This window comes from Homo sapiens, chromosome 2 (genome assembly GCF_000001405.40).
Source record: "Homo sapiens chromosome 2, GRCh38.p14 Primary Assembly".
NCBI classification, from domain to species: Eukaryota; Metazoa; Chordata; class Mammalia; order Primates; family Hominidae; genus Homo; species Homo sapiens.
In genome coordinates, this window is record NC_000002.12 from 65394698 (window position 1) to 65408829 (window position 14132).

Consider the following 14132-nt stretch of genomic DNA (forward strand, 5'->3'; position numbering starts at 1 on the left):
GCTAGGAGCCATGAGGGGTTTTGCTTACTATTTCTATTTCCCGGGACACTGAAGTCCGCTTCCGATCACAGTGAGGCGCAGGGAGGGTTGAATGCAAAGGACTAGATATTCAAGTGCTGGCTAAAAGGCTTTTTCATTTTTATATGAAGAGAAAATAAAACAACAACAACTGCATTTTCACATTATGCTACTTCTGTCTTTTTCTTAGGCAAATGTATGCTAATTGTAGTGATTTTTATCTATTTTCTGACCGAGGAAAATAGAAGACTGCTGTGGGTTGGGGTTGATTCTAGTAGCAAGGGTACAAGAGATATCCGGTGGCCAGGATTTGCCATCCCCAGTAACCTTGGGTGTACCTCTCCATCACCCAAGGTAACTCCGCCCGAGGTATCCAGCCCACTGACTGTTCATCCCCGTGTCCCTGCCTGACCCCTGTCATTCCACTGGGCCTCGGATCTAAGTGTTCCACGATCTCCAGCACTTCTCGCTCCGTGGCCCCGGCTCCTGGCCTCCACACACTCTTCCCTTACCAACGTTAACCCTCCACGGATTTTGTCTATCACTAGGTCCAGCCCTGATACCTGTCTTCAGCCCCAGCTGAATGGGCAGAGTGTCCCAACCTGACCTTCAAGTCTGTGTGTGGGGTTGAAAAAGAAGAGGACTTTCCCCCTTCCCCTTCTCTCCAGGGTTCTCACCACGGCAGTACCCTACGCAGTGGAAGTTAGAAGCCTCTGCCCCAACTGAACCCCACCTCCCTCACACTCATCCATTCAGCTGAACCCCAACTCCCTCACACTCATCCATTCCTTTCTACCACACCCCGCATCACCTGTCTCTCATGGCTTCCTGTAGTGTCTTGACTTACCTCTGCCTCTGACCTCAATTCATCTTGCACATCATATTCGATCCACTTCTAAAAAGTCATTTAAGGTCTCTAAATGTGTACTCGGTTTCCTTATGGGTAGAAGTGGGCATCAACAGCACCTATCTCATAGGGCAGTTATGAGAATTAAAACAGGTTAGGGGTATCGGGCACCTGGGATAGTGTCCAGCACACAGTAATGAACTCAAATATCAAATATTTTTGCAGTTACTGCTGGAAGTCCTGCTGTGGCCACGTCACACTCCATTAAAAACCTTCAATTGCTCCCTGCTGCTTACAGAGTAATTAGCTCAGGACTCAGGGTCCTTTTTTCCATCTGCCTCAAGTCACTTTTTTTTCCTAAACTTTATCTCTTCAAATTACTCCTTTTTCTCTTCAAATATCTTTTGCTCTGGCTAAAGCCTGCTCAGTTCAAATCTGGAATTGAACTGTCTTGGGTTCAAATCTCCACTCTAACCACTTATGAGCCTTCTCGGGCAAGTTATTTTAATGCTGCAGGCCTTAGTTTTCTTATGAGGAAAAAAGTTTTCTTATGAGGAGGATTAGATGGGATAATGTGGGTGAGGCCTCAGTCAAGGGCATGGCAACGCAGTTAAAGGTTGATTACTCTTCCTCTCTTCCACCTGTTTTGGTTTTGTTTTCTAACTTTTGTGCTATATCTCTGCCTAAAACTTCCCTCTCTGCACAGATAAACCTGTCCTTCAAGGCTCAACTCAAATGTCACCTTCTCCATGTGGGTTTACTTGAAACCCACCCACTAATTTCCTTCCCCCACCAAATACCTACGGCGCATCATGCTATTCTTGGACACAACAGCAAAAGCTCCCGTGTGCTTGCCCTATGTCCTACACTTGACTGACAACATTTGTGGACAGGCCCCACGTCTGATTCATCTTTGAGTTCTCCACACGGTCCTGCATATAGCAGAAACTTGGTAAATATTTGCTGAGTGAAAGAACAAATTTTTGGAGCAAAGGCAAGAGGGAGTTCCAAGCTTTGAAGACTACGGAACCAGCACTGTAGTATAACTGAGCAACAGGACAGAGATGGGTTTGTCCTGGGACATACTAGAGAAGTAAAGAATTTTTTTATTCCAAAGGAGCAGTGAAGCCAAACTATACAAAGTGAAGTGAAGCCAGCTTCCCCTGTCTCCTCCAAGTGAAGCATGGCCGCCTCCCCAGAGCCAAGGGTGTTGCCATTTTAAACAAATAAGTCACCCTGCTCTGATGCAAACAGCCCTCAGTGCTTCAGTCCTGAAGGGAGGGACTCTTGTATACCATGCACTTGAAAAATTAGATCTTTGTTTCCAAGAGGCTATTCTAAACTTCTAACCAGGCCTGTCTGCTTAGCAATCTCCTTAAAAGCATGTGCTGGTAGCAAGTACAGCTGCATTCTTAATCACTTACACCCCACAACCAACTAAAGATAGCTTGAGGAGGTCTGCCATATGCCAAATTCTTCTTTTAAATAAGAACACAAGAATCGTTCATGAAAAAAAAAAATTCAGTCATAGCCATCAGAAAAGGGAAAAGGAAAAAGATTTGACTTTTCTCTCCTTGTTTTGAATGAAATACCAAAGTAGAAAAATTTTGATAAAGAAACAGATACACACTACATCTTGGCACCAGGCTTATGCATCTGCATGGCCTGGCCTCTGAGACCCCTATCACAGTATTTACTCCTGAGTACCCTGAAAATGACTCAGGCCTGTCACAAGTTAGCCACAGACAGCGCCAAGTAATAAACCCAGCCCTCACCGCCCCCATCCTGAACAAATGAGCAGGGTTAACTTTTCTCACTGGCAACCAGAATGGGTTGTGGCTTATGACATGTCTCTCTTTTTCCTTTTTACCTAAACCCTACTAATCACTCAAAGCAAAGCTCAATTCCTTTCTCTTCTGTCAAGCTTTTCACAACTACCTAAACCAAGATAATTTCTTGGTCCATCACTAGGTCCAACCCTGCCCAGCTGTGGGCAGAATGTCCCAACCTGACCCTTCACATTTCTACAATCTGTTTCTAGCATCACTTTTTTTTTTTTTTTTTGCCCTTTACTCACAATACAAGGTAACATATGTATAATCCACAGACCCAGGCCTTTCTAAATAGATTGCCCACTTCCTGAAGACAGGAGCCTCATCTTAGCTAGACTCCTTTAGACATATCCCCCACTCCAAAGTACCTGAGCTACATGGATGAGTAGAATCGATATTGTGAAAATGACCATACTGCCAAAAGCAATCTACAAATTCAATGCAATTCCCATCAAAATACCACCATTATTCTTCACAGAACTAGAAAAAAAAATCCTAAAATTCACATGCAATCAAAAAAGAGCCTGCATAGCCTAAGCAAGACTAAGCAAAAAGAACAAATCTGGAGGCAACCTATTACCTGATTCCAAACTATACTGTAAGGCCATAGTCACCCAAACAGCATGGTAGTGGTATAAAAATAGGCACATAGACCAATGGAACAGAATAGAGAACCAAGAAATAAAACCAAATACTTGCAGACAACTGATCTTTGACAAAGCAAACAAAAACTTAAAGCAGAAAAAGAACACCCTATTCAACAAATGGTACTGGGATAATTGGCAAGCCACATGTAGAGAATGAAACTGGATCCTCATCTCTCATCTTATACAAAAATCAACTCAAGATGGACCAAAGACTTAAATCTAAGGCTTGAAACCAAAAAGATTTTAGAAGATAACGTTGGAAAAACCCTTCTAGACATTGGCTTAGGCAAAGACTTCATGACCAAGAACCCCAAAGCAAATGCAACAAAAACAAAGATATATGGGACTTAAACTTAAAAAGCTTCTGCACAGCAAAAGAAACAATCAGCACAGTTAGCAGACAACCCGCAGAGTGGGAGAAAATCTTCACAATCTATACATCCAACAGAGGACTAATATCCAGAATCTATAAGAACTCAGCGAGAAAAAAAAAATCCCATCAAAAAGTGGGCTAAGGACGTGAATGAACAATTCTCAAAAGAAGATATACAAATGGCCAACAAGCATATGGAGAAATACTCAACATCACTAATTATCAGGGCAATGCAAATCAAAACCACAATGAGATACCACCTCACTCCTGCAAGAATGGCCATAATCAAAAGATCCAAAAATAATAGATGTTGGTGTGGATGTGCTGAAAAGGGAACACTTTTACACTGTTGGTGGGAATGTAAACTAATACAACCACTATGGAAAACAGTGTGGAGATTCCTTAAAGAACTAAAAGCAGAACTGCCATTTGGTCCAGCAATCCCACTACTGGGAAAAGAAGTCATTATATGAAGAAGATACTTTCACATTCATGTTTATAGAAGCACAATGCGCAACTGCAAAAATATGGAACCACCCCAAATGCCTATCAACCAACAAGTGGATAGAGAAAATGTGGTATAGCTGGGCGCGGTGGCTCATGCCTGTAATCCCAGCATTTTGTGAGGCCAAGGTGGGCGGATCACGAGGTCAGGAGATCGAGACCATCCTGGCTAACACGGTGAAACCCTGTCTCTCTTAAAAAATAAGCCGGGTGTGGTGGCGGGCGCCTGTAGTCCCAGCTACTTGGGAGGCTGAGGTAGGAGAATCGCTTGAAGCTGGAGGCAGAGGTTGCGGTGAGCCGAGATCACGCCATTGCACTCCAGCCTGGTCAACAAGAGCGAAAATCTGTCTCAAAAAAAAAAAAAAGGTGTATATATATACACCATGGAATACTACTACTCAGTCATAAAAACGAACAAAATAATGGCATTTGCAGCAACCTGGATAGAACTGGAAACTATTATTCTTTTTTTTTTTTTTTTTTTGAGAGGGAATCTCTCTGTCGCCCAGGCTGGAGTGCAGTGGTGCGATCTCAGCTCACTGCAACCTCTGCCTCCCGGGTTCAAGTGATTCTTCTGCCTCAGCCTCCCTAGTAGCTGGAACTACAGGTGCACGCCACCACGCCTGGCTAATTTTTGTATTTTTAGTAGAGACGGGGTTTCACCATGTTGGCGAGGCTGGTCTCGAACTCCTGAGTTTGTGATCTGCCTGCCTCGGCCTCCCAAAGTGCTGGGATTACAGGCGTGAGCCACTGCGCCTGGCCTTAACTGGAAACTATTATTCTAAGTGAAGTAACTCAGGAATGGAAAACCAAACATCATATATTCTCACTCATATGTGGGAGCTAAGCTATGAGGACACAAAGGCATAAGAATCATACATTGGACTTTGGGGACTTGGGGGAAAGGGTGGGGATGGCAAAGGATAAAAGATTACACATTGGGTACACTGTATATTGCTCAGGTGATGGGTGTACCAAAATCTCAGAAAATACCACTAAAGAACTTATTCATGTAACCAAACACCACCTGTTCCCCCAAAACCTATTGAAATATAAAAATTAAAAAACAAAAAAACAAAAACCCCCAACAAAGTACCTGAGCTAGTCTCAGCACTGCAGGGTATACACAGGTATAAACTCTTCTCCAATGAAGTTACTGATACTCAATCCTTCTGACATCAAATTCAGTGATTACCTATTAGTTTTCTGAGGTTTAGCTCTTATATTATTCTGGTCCCTCCACAATCCTCCCCCTCAATCCTTCTTAAATAGTTATATGACACTTTTAACTAAGTCAAGATTTGGTGATAAAACTTATGATTATATAAATATTCAGGGCCAACCCTGGAATAGTCCATGGTTATATTTTCTTTCTTATAACTTTCTGCTTTATTCCTATATTAAATATTGCCTCCCTGTTTACTTTTGCTTAGTTTTCTATGTGTGAATTATTGTTTCATCCACAAATAGGGCCAGAAAAAAACAAGTTGTCAGAGAAACTGAAAAACTATTCTCTCAATAGGATCAAAAGCATTTTTGCTTGATGCCATCCCTTCTGGGACCGTTGGCCCTCATCCCCCATCTTTTTTATCCTCATAGGTTACTGGGGTACAGGTGGCATTTGGTTACATGAGTAAGGTCTTTAGTGGTGGCCCCATGTTCCATCTAGGCCGACTGTGCTCAGGGCCTCAGTGTGTGGGCTGGGGTATGGGGGTTCTTCCCTTCCTTTCTGTTCTGTGTTCGTCCCTATTTCCTAGATTCTTTGGTGTTCTCTCTCTCCTTTTCCTTTCTTGCTCTGATGGAAGGTCCTTTCACGTCCTGTTTCTGGTTCAGTCCTGAATCTGGAATCCAGAATTCAGGATTCTGCAGCAAAAACTCCAGCTATCCCACCTTCAGCTTTGCGCCACCCACCCTGGAAGGCAGTTCAGTTCTAGCGTTCTCTGCTCTACTAAATTCACACGCTGGCCTTCCATCTTACAAGATTTGGTTGGTATTTCTCTGGGAAGTTTCTGGGCTTATACTGTTTTTATTCCTTATCATCATTTTAAAATTTTTATTAGTTTTTTTGAGACAGAGTCTCACTCTGTCGCCTAGGCTGGTATGCAGTGGTGTGATCTTGGTTCACTGCAACCTCTGCCTCCCAGGTTCAAGTGATTCTTCTGCCTCTACCTCCTGAATAGCTGGAACTACAGACGTACCACACCACGCCTGGCAATTTTTTTTTTTTTTTATTTCTTAGTAGAGACGTGGTTTCACCACGTTGGCCAGGCTGGTCTTGAACTCCTGACCTCAAGTGATCCACCCGCCTCAGCCTCCCAAAGTGCTGAGATTACAGGTGTGAGCCACTGCGCCCAGCCCCTTATTTCCATTTTACAGTTTTGGGAGGAAGCAGAGATATATACACTTGTTCAGTTTACCAGAAGCCTGCTGAATGGGAACTTGCAGCTTAGCAAGAAGACCCCCCCAGGTGACTCACATGCATATCAAATGTTTACAAACAGATTTACAGTTAGTTGCCATGTCTCATACCATTTTTTTTTTCCTGGTAGCATCAAGTACAAAGACTTATAAGTAGTGAGAGCTCAAGAAGGTATTGGCCAGGCGCGGTGGCTCACGCCTGTAATCCCAGCACTTTGGGAGGCTGAGGCGGGCAGATCATGAGGCCAGGAGATTGAGACCATCCTGGCTAACACGGTGAAACCCCGTCTCTACTAAAAAAATACAAAAAAATTAGCCGGGCATGGTGGCGGGCGCGCCTGTAGTCCCAGCCACTCGGGAGGCTGAGGCAGGAGAATGGCATGAACCCAGGAGGTGGAGCTTGCAGTGAGCCAAGATCGCACCACTGCACTCCAGCCTGGGCGACAGAGCCAGACTCTGTCTCAAAAAATAAATAAATAAATAAATAAAAAAGGAAGTATTTACTACTAACAGTTGGTCAATATTTTAGTTAACTATATGCTAACATCTACACTACTCAGATTATAAATTGTAAAACGATCAGAATATTAGCGCGCGCGCGCACACACACACACACACACACACACACACACACACACCTGTTAATTTGTCTTAGGTAATTCTAAAGGAACACAGGTTTCATCACCAGGAGGATCAGGTATTTCATACAGGCTTGTCTGTGCAGGGAGGCCAGGAGTTTGAAAGCAGCCTGGGCAACATGGCAAAACCCCATCTCTACTAAAAATACAAAAAATTAGCTGGGCGTGGTGGCATGCACCTGTAATCACAGCTACTCGGGAGCCTGAGGCACGAGAATCACTTGAGCCCGGGAGGCGAAGGTTTCATTGAGCTGAGATCTGGCCACTGCACTCCAGCCTGGGAGACAGAGTGAGACTCTGTCTCAAAAAAAAAAAAAAAAAAAAAAAAAAACCAAAAACAAAATAATGCTATTGGGGATCTGGATCACTGAGTGAAGGGTGGTGCCATCTGTCAAGTCAGGAAAGGCCGGGTAAGCGGGCTGCCCACTGTAGGGGATGAGAAGTTCTCTTTTGGATATTTAAGTTTAGATGCCTGTTAGACAACCATATGGAGATACTGATATAACTCTGGAGTTCTGAGAATGGCCAGGCTGGAGAAATCAATCTGAGAGTCATCTGCACACAGATGGGATGTGAAGTCATAGGACTAGATTCCATCCAGGCAGGCCTGCAGAGGGAAAGGAGAAGGGGGTAGGATTGAGCCCCTGGGGTGCTCTAGAGCCTAAAGCAGGCATAGTGAAGGCATAGGAATTCCTATCAGAGCTCATATGGAATCACAGCATCTCAAAACAAACTAGAAGTTAAACTCACACCTATGTAATTGCCTGAATTGGATTAATATAATTCCATAAAGAGCTGTGTCTGAAGAAATCCTCTGATAATTCAGAAATTTTTAAAATCAATAGGCATGGTACAGACATGCAGAAAATCATAATTAGGGTTTTAATGTTGCAAGACTACAGAAGATTTGCTTCATTATTAACCAAAAAAGGGTTACACAATGATGAGCACATTTGGTTGAATTGAGAAATATAAATGAATCTATGTTTGGGGCATTTTACACTTCTGCCAAAGAATTTATCGGCACAATCTTTCAGCCAACACTGAACTAATAACATTTGATTTACATCCAAAAGCCAAAATACATTCCCAAAAGCCAGCCAAATACAAAGCTTCAGACTTCACTAAAGGTCCACAGTGAATGCTGAAACGTCCAAGCTCAGGACCGGCTATAAACTCGGCAGTACTACATTAACCATGTGCAAACCAAACAACAGCCTCCTAAGGAGACAACTATTAAATATTTCCAGAAGGGGTTACGGATAGTAGAGTCAACATTTAGAATAAGATCAGATAGACATCCATTTCCTTTAAAAGACAGGGTCTCACTCTGTTGCCCAGGCTGGAGTGCAGTGGTGCATGCATCAAAGCTCACTGCAGCCTCGAACTCTTGAGCTCAAGTGATCCTCCTGCCTCGGCCTCCTGAGTAGCTGGGACTACAGGCGTGTGCCACTGCACCTGGATAATTTTTTTAAAACTTTGTGTATAAGTGGAGTTTCCCAGGCTGGTCTTGAACTCCTGGGCTCAAGCAATCCCCCCACCTTGGCCTCCTAAAATGCTGGGATTACATGCGTGAGCCACTACGCCCATCTGGGATAGACATTTTTACGACACAAAGAAATCCTCAAAATACTAAAGACTAATTGAAATCGCATTAGTGGAAATGTAGTCCAAGGAGTAGCATCATGGGCAGCACCCAAAAGCTGAAGAAAAAAGCACCATCTCAGGCCCCACCCCAGGCCTGCTGAATGGGAACTTGCAACTTAGCAGGAAGACCCCACGTGACTCACATGCATATCAAAGCACTGGTCTGAAAGGCCTAGACCTCAGGTGCTTGGTACTGCCTGTTCTGAGCCATAATTAGGTGAATATCATGCTCAAAATTTCATATACAACACTCTACTCCAGAAGCAGCAGGAGAATCAGTTTCCTAAAAAGGAACATTTGTGGCCAGGTGTGGTGGCTCACTCCTGTAATCCCAGTACTTTGGGAGGCCGAGGCAGGTGGATCACCTTAGGTCAGGAGTTAGAGACCAGCCTGGCTAACATGGTGAAACCCCGTCTCTACTAAAAATACAAAAACTAGCTGGGCATGGTGGCGGATGCCTGTAGTCCCAGCTACTCAGGAGGCTGAGGCAGGAGAACTCTTGAACGCCCAGGAGACGGAGATTGCAGTAAGCCGAGATCACGCCACTGCACTCCAGCCTGGGCAACAGAGTGAGACTCCGTCTCAAAAAAAAAAAAAGAAAGAAAGAAAAAGAAGAAACATTTGTGCTAGTAATGTTCTCCTTAATTGTTTTAAGAATTATGTGTAGGCAGGCAACCATGTTAAATAAAGGGAAAGTCTGTAATCAAATATACTCACAAAGTTAACCATATATATTACATGTATTAGTGAACTGCATGGAAACTAGATATAAGCGCAAGTATATACTACTTGTCTATGCCAAACCAAGTTGTTTCAAAATCTCCTCTCATCTCTTTATTGGATGGCTAAACAGTCTCAGTAATGAGTTTCTCAGGGAGTTTTCTCTAGGAGCACATAATTTAATGCAGATATTCATTCATACTATACCCTATTCATTCATTCAGCAGATACTTCTTGAGCCTCTATTATGCCAGGCACTGAAGACAGCAATGAGTAAAACAGGCAGACACCTTGCCTCCTGTGCAGAGAGAGGGGACCTGGGGTCCCCAGGAGCTGGAGTGTCAACAGACCCCCAACTTTGGGACACAAGATCAAAGAGAAGCCACCTAGCGAGCAAACAGGACTGGCTGTAGGTCTATAAAAAACACGTGCCTGTTTCTTACAAATGAGGGCACAGCCCAGTTATCCATGTACTACCTCCCCAGCATGAACAGACCACCTTTCCCTTCTGCCAAACAAACACCTCCCCCAACAACAGCACACCCCTGGGCCCTTTTATGATCTAACCTCACTTAGCTCCAGGCACCTGCTCCCTAACAGGCCTTTAATTCCTCACTTTCCCTCCTGCCTTGTGACTACATCTGGCAAGGTGTTTTTCTTCTGTCACACGTTATAAACACGTTGTAGAGATACTATAAACAATAATTATGACAATAATGACAATTTGCTAATATTTACCGTGTGCTTTTCTTATGTGCCAAGCATTAGCTCATCTAAATGTATATACATCAGCCCATTTTCCAGGAGAGAAAATTAAGGCTTAGCGTTTATGTCACTACCCTACGTCTCATGACCAACAAGTGGCAGAATCAGGACTTAATGACCTTCTTATGGTACTTTCCACCTTGGTGGAGAAGAGCATGGAGATGACATAGTCATTGAGGTGATATATAGTGATAGTGATAGAGGAAGTCGTTATCCAGGGAGTTACTGAAATGTCCTTTTCAACCTTCCTTTTATCATTCAAATAGCAGTTAACAAGGACAAATTGCTGCAAATCATCCTCGATTTTCCCTCTTGCTTGGATCTTATTTTATTCTGATCCCAAATATTCCTAGCTAACATGTTTAAGGCTGAGTCTTTTCCCCCTCTCATCACACACTCATTACAAATGCAAATAACTGTGAATGACTGTCCAAACGAGCAGGACAAAACTCCCCCAATTAAGTCCAATACACACACCTGAACTTACTGGGGCTTCAACGCCCCCAGAAGATTAATCAGCACCATGGGGCTCCTGAGAACACAAAGGCTATTTTGTGGGAGTGATACGGCACTGCAATCCTCTTTTCTGTGATTACACCTCATTTTATAACAATGTTCAGACATTTGGTTTGAGCAAGTATAGTAATTACATTTCTCACTTTGAACTAATTTAAGCAGCTACATCTGAGCTCCTCCACAAGTCCTCAGGCTTACCAGCCCTTCTCCTCCCACCCAGAGCACTCCTATTTGAGAAGACCCGGACTTCTTTGCTAAGTGACTGTTCCCACTTTCTGTCAGGCACTCCATAATTCAAACCTATTTCTCCAAGCTGACCCTCTTGCAATGGGCAGAACACCCCCGCACTTTCTTCCTGGCACTCATTTGGAGGAGCCCTGTAGAAAAACAACCAGGCAACCAGACTCTCCCACTATCCAACTGTGTGACCTGGGTTTAACTCCCCAGGCCTCAGAGTCCTCATCTGTTAAATGGTGCTCCTGGCCTCTATGTTGGTGATGACACTTCTTTGGGCTGAGAGTGCTACCATGAGATTATAAAAGCGAACCACCCCACGGTGGCAGGTCCTTCAGAGCCACAAAGACCCTGCTGGAGGCAGAAAATTCTGCTAAATGTGCCCTGCAAAGAAAATGCTGAGAAGCCAGGATTTCTTAATACTTGACACCCAAACTTACCATCCACCAACTTTCCAATCCTCCCACCCCATTCTTATAATTTACTCTTTATAGAGGTCAAGAATAAATGGAAATGTTAACAGAGAGCAACACCAACCCTTCCCCCCAAATCAAAGATCCTGGTTTTGCTAGGCAGGACCCAATATTTTATCCACTCATGTCTGTGCACACAAGTTTGTTTGTAAGACTGCAAGCTTTTAGAAAGGCAGTGACAAGGAGCCTCACTAGTTGTAGAAATAAAGTTGGTCATTATACTCTTCGTGCACCACATGTGAGATGTCCTGACATTCCACCTCTGGGGGAGGTTTTGGGAAGTAGGGGTGGAAATGGAAGGTTGGGGGCAGAAAGCAACTCACACTTCACTTTCCTTCTGCTTAGCACATCAGCCCACCTTGCTGTACACAAGAGGCAGGCTAAAAATAGTAACATCGTTTTCCTTTCCACCCTTGCAGGAAGCTAACCTGTTCCACCAGAATGGCCTGATAAAGGCAGCCGCACTTCCTTAGAGATAAAATCCACCTTTCCTGAGAGCTCAGCCTTGAGAGTGAGGCAGGGCCCTCCATCAAGCTGCCTGCCTTGGAGGCTCAGGCAGGGCTCTGGTCCAAGTTACTGGACAGTGGAAAGTTTAGTCTCTCTTTTTTTTTTTTTTTGAGACGGAGTCTCGCTCTGTCGCCCAGGCTGGAGTGCAGTGGTGCCATCTCGGCTCACTGCAAGCTCCACCTCCTGGGTTCACGCCATTCTCCTGCCTCAGCTCCTGAGTAGCTGGGACTACAGGCACCCACCACCATGCCCGGCTAATTTTTTGTATTTTTAGTAGAGATGGGGTTTCACCATGTTAGCCAGGATGGTCTCGATCTCCTGACCCCATGATCTGCCCGCCTTGGCCTCCCAAAGTGCTGGAATTACAGGTGTGAGCCATAGTCTCTTTCTCAAATGGGGCGCTGGCTCCTTTTTTTTTTTTTGCTAAAAGTCCCATGACAGAAGGATTCTGACTTCACAGCTAATGTGAACTGACAATGAAGACTCCCAAACCACAATAACTTAACAGGAAACTGAGGTGGCTGCAGGTGTGTGTGTGTGCGTGTGTTGTGTATTGGGGGGCATTTTGGGGGGCATTTTGATTGTCTTCATCAAGTCAAGATTCAGCACGAGGGGGTTCTAATCTATTGCTGTGTAGCCATGAGAGCTGCAATCAAGAAGGTAGGTGCATGGCATGCAAACTTCCTCTCTGCAGGGGGTGGGAAGTGCTGCCAACTTAAAGCTTATCTCATTCTGAGTCTTCATGTCAATGACTGTCATGCACATCCCTGTTCACATGCCTTGGAAATCTAGGTTTGGGTGTCTGGTTTGGTTAAACCAAAAGATCAACTCTCCTCAGCTGGATCACTTGTCCTTTCACCCGTGGAGACGCGGTATCCACTCATGCCTCCGTGCACACAGGTAGACAGAAAAGGGTGGGAAAGGTGGAGCACAGGGAACCTCCCCATAACTCCAACTGGAGGACAGTTCTCTCTTCCACTCTTGGGAGTGTCTTAAAATACTAACATGACCGAGTGCAAAGCTCTAGCTATATTTTTACTTCTCAGAACAAACAACAACAAAATATCAAAAGCTGGGCAAGGGAGCCAGAGGTCTAAAGGGGCAAGAAGAAAGAATGTTATCAAAACGATTATGACATGGTCCCTGTGTAGAGAGGCATTCCCTAATAGGCCACCAACCCAGGCTATCTTCCTTTTACCCATCAGTCTGATTTCAGCTCCTCATAAAACCAGTCTCTTGAGCTTCTCTCCTTGCCTGCTGGTTCCATCTTCTTAAGATCTTATCAGAGGAGCAAGATCCTTCCCTTCTGCCCAGACCTTGGGTCCTTTCAACAAAGCTTTAGGCTGAAACTTCTTTCCAGACACCAGTAATGATCACCCGGCATGTATTAGGCACCTCAAACATGTCAGACACTGCTGCGGACACTTTCATGTGCTACATGTAATTTAATCCTCACAAGCCTCATACTATGAGTCCTATTTGACAGACAAGAAAGCTAAAGTTTGGGAAGATAAATATGCAGTATAAGGTAGAGTCAGAATTCAAAATCAGCTCCCCTGACTTTGAGGCAGAAGCTGTTTTTATGATGCCACAGATTCCTGTAGGAATTCCTTGTATCCCTTCTTCTCTGAATTGATCATAGAGCTCCAGGCAAATTGCTCGGACCAGAACCAGAGCCCCCTTCCAATGTCTGTATGTATAATCCCAGTCGCCAGCCACAGGAATTAGTCAGTTACATAAGGGGACTTTTGAAGTTCTTTTTTTTTTTTTTGAGACGGAGTCTCACTCTGTCACCTAGGCTGGAGTGCAGTGGCGCGATCTGCAACCTCTGCCTTCTGGGATCAAGCAATTCTTCTGCCTCAGCCTCCTGAGTAGCTGGGACAATAGTCACGTGCCACCACACCCAGCTAATTTTTGTATTTTTAGTAGAGATGGGGTTCCACTATACTGGCCAGGCTGGTCTTGAACTCCTGACTTTGTGATCCGCCTGCCT

The 14132-nt window shown here is 44.3% G+C and overlaps 1 protein-coding gene across 3 annotated transcripts in view, besides 1 other annotated feature; it reads right to left on the reverse strand.

Annotated features, from left to right (window-relative positions):
• SPRED2 (sprouty related EVH1 domain containing 2) overlaps window positions 1–14132 on the reverse strand; it is a 125425-nt gene that overhangs the window by 87523 nt on the left and 23770 nt on the right. The window lies entirely within an intron of this gene.
• Window positions 12243–12292: an enhancer, noted in NCBI's record as "active region_15936". NCBI's record gives its function as "activates an Ori minimal core promoter by ATAC-STARR-seq in GM12878 lymphoblastoid cells {active_cell/tissue: GM12878}" and the evidence as "EXISTENCE:reporter gene assay evidence [ECO:0000049][PMID:35858748]".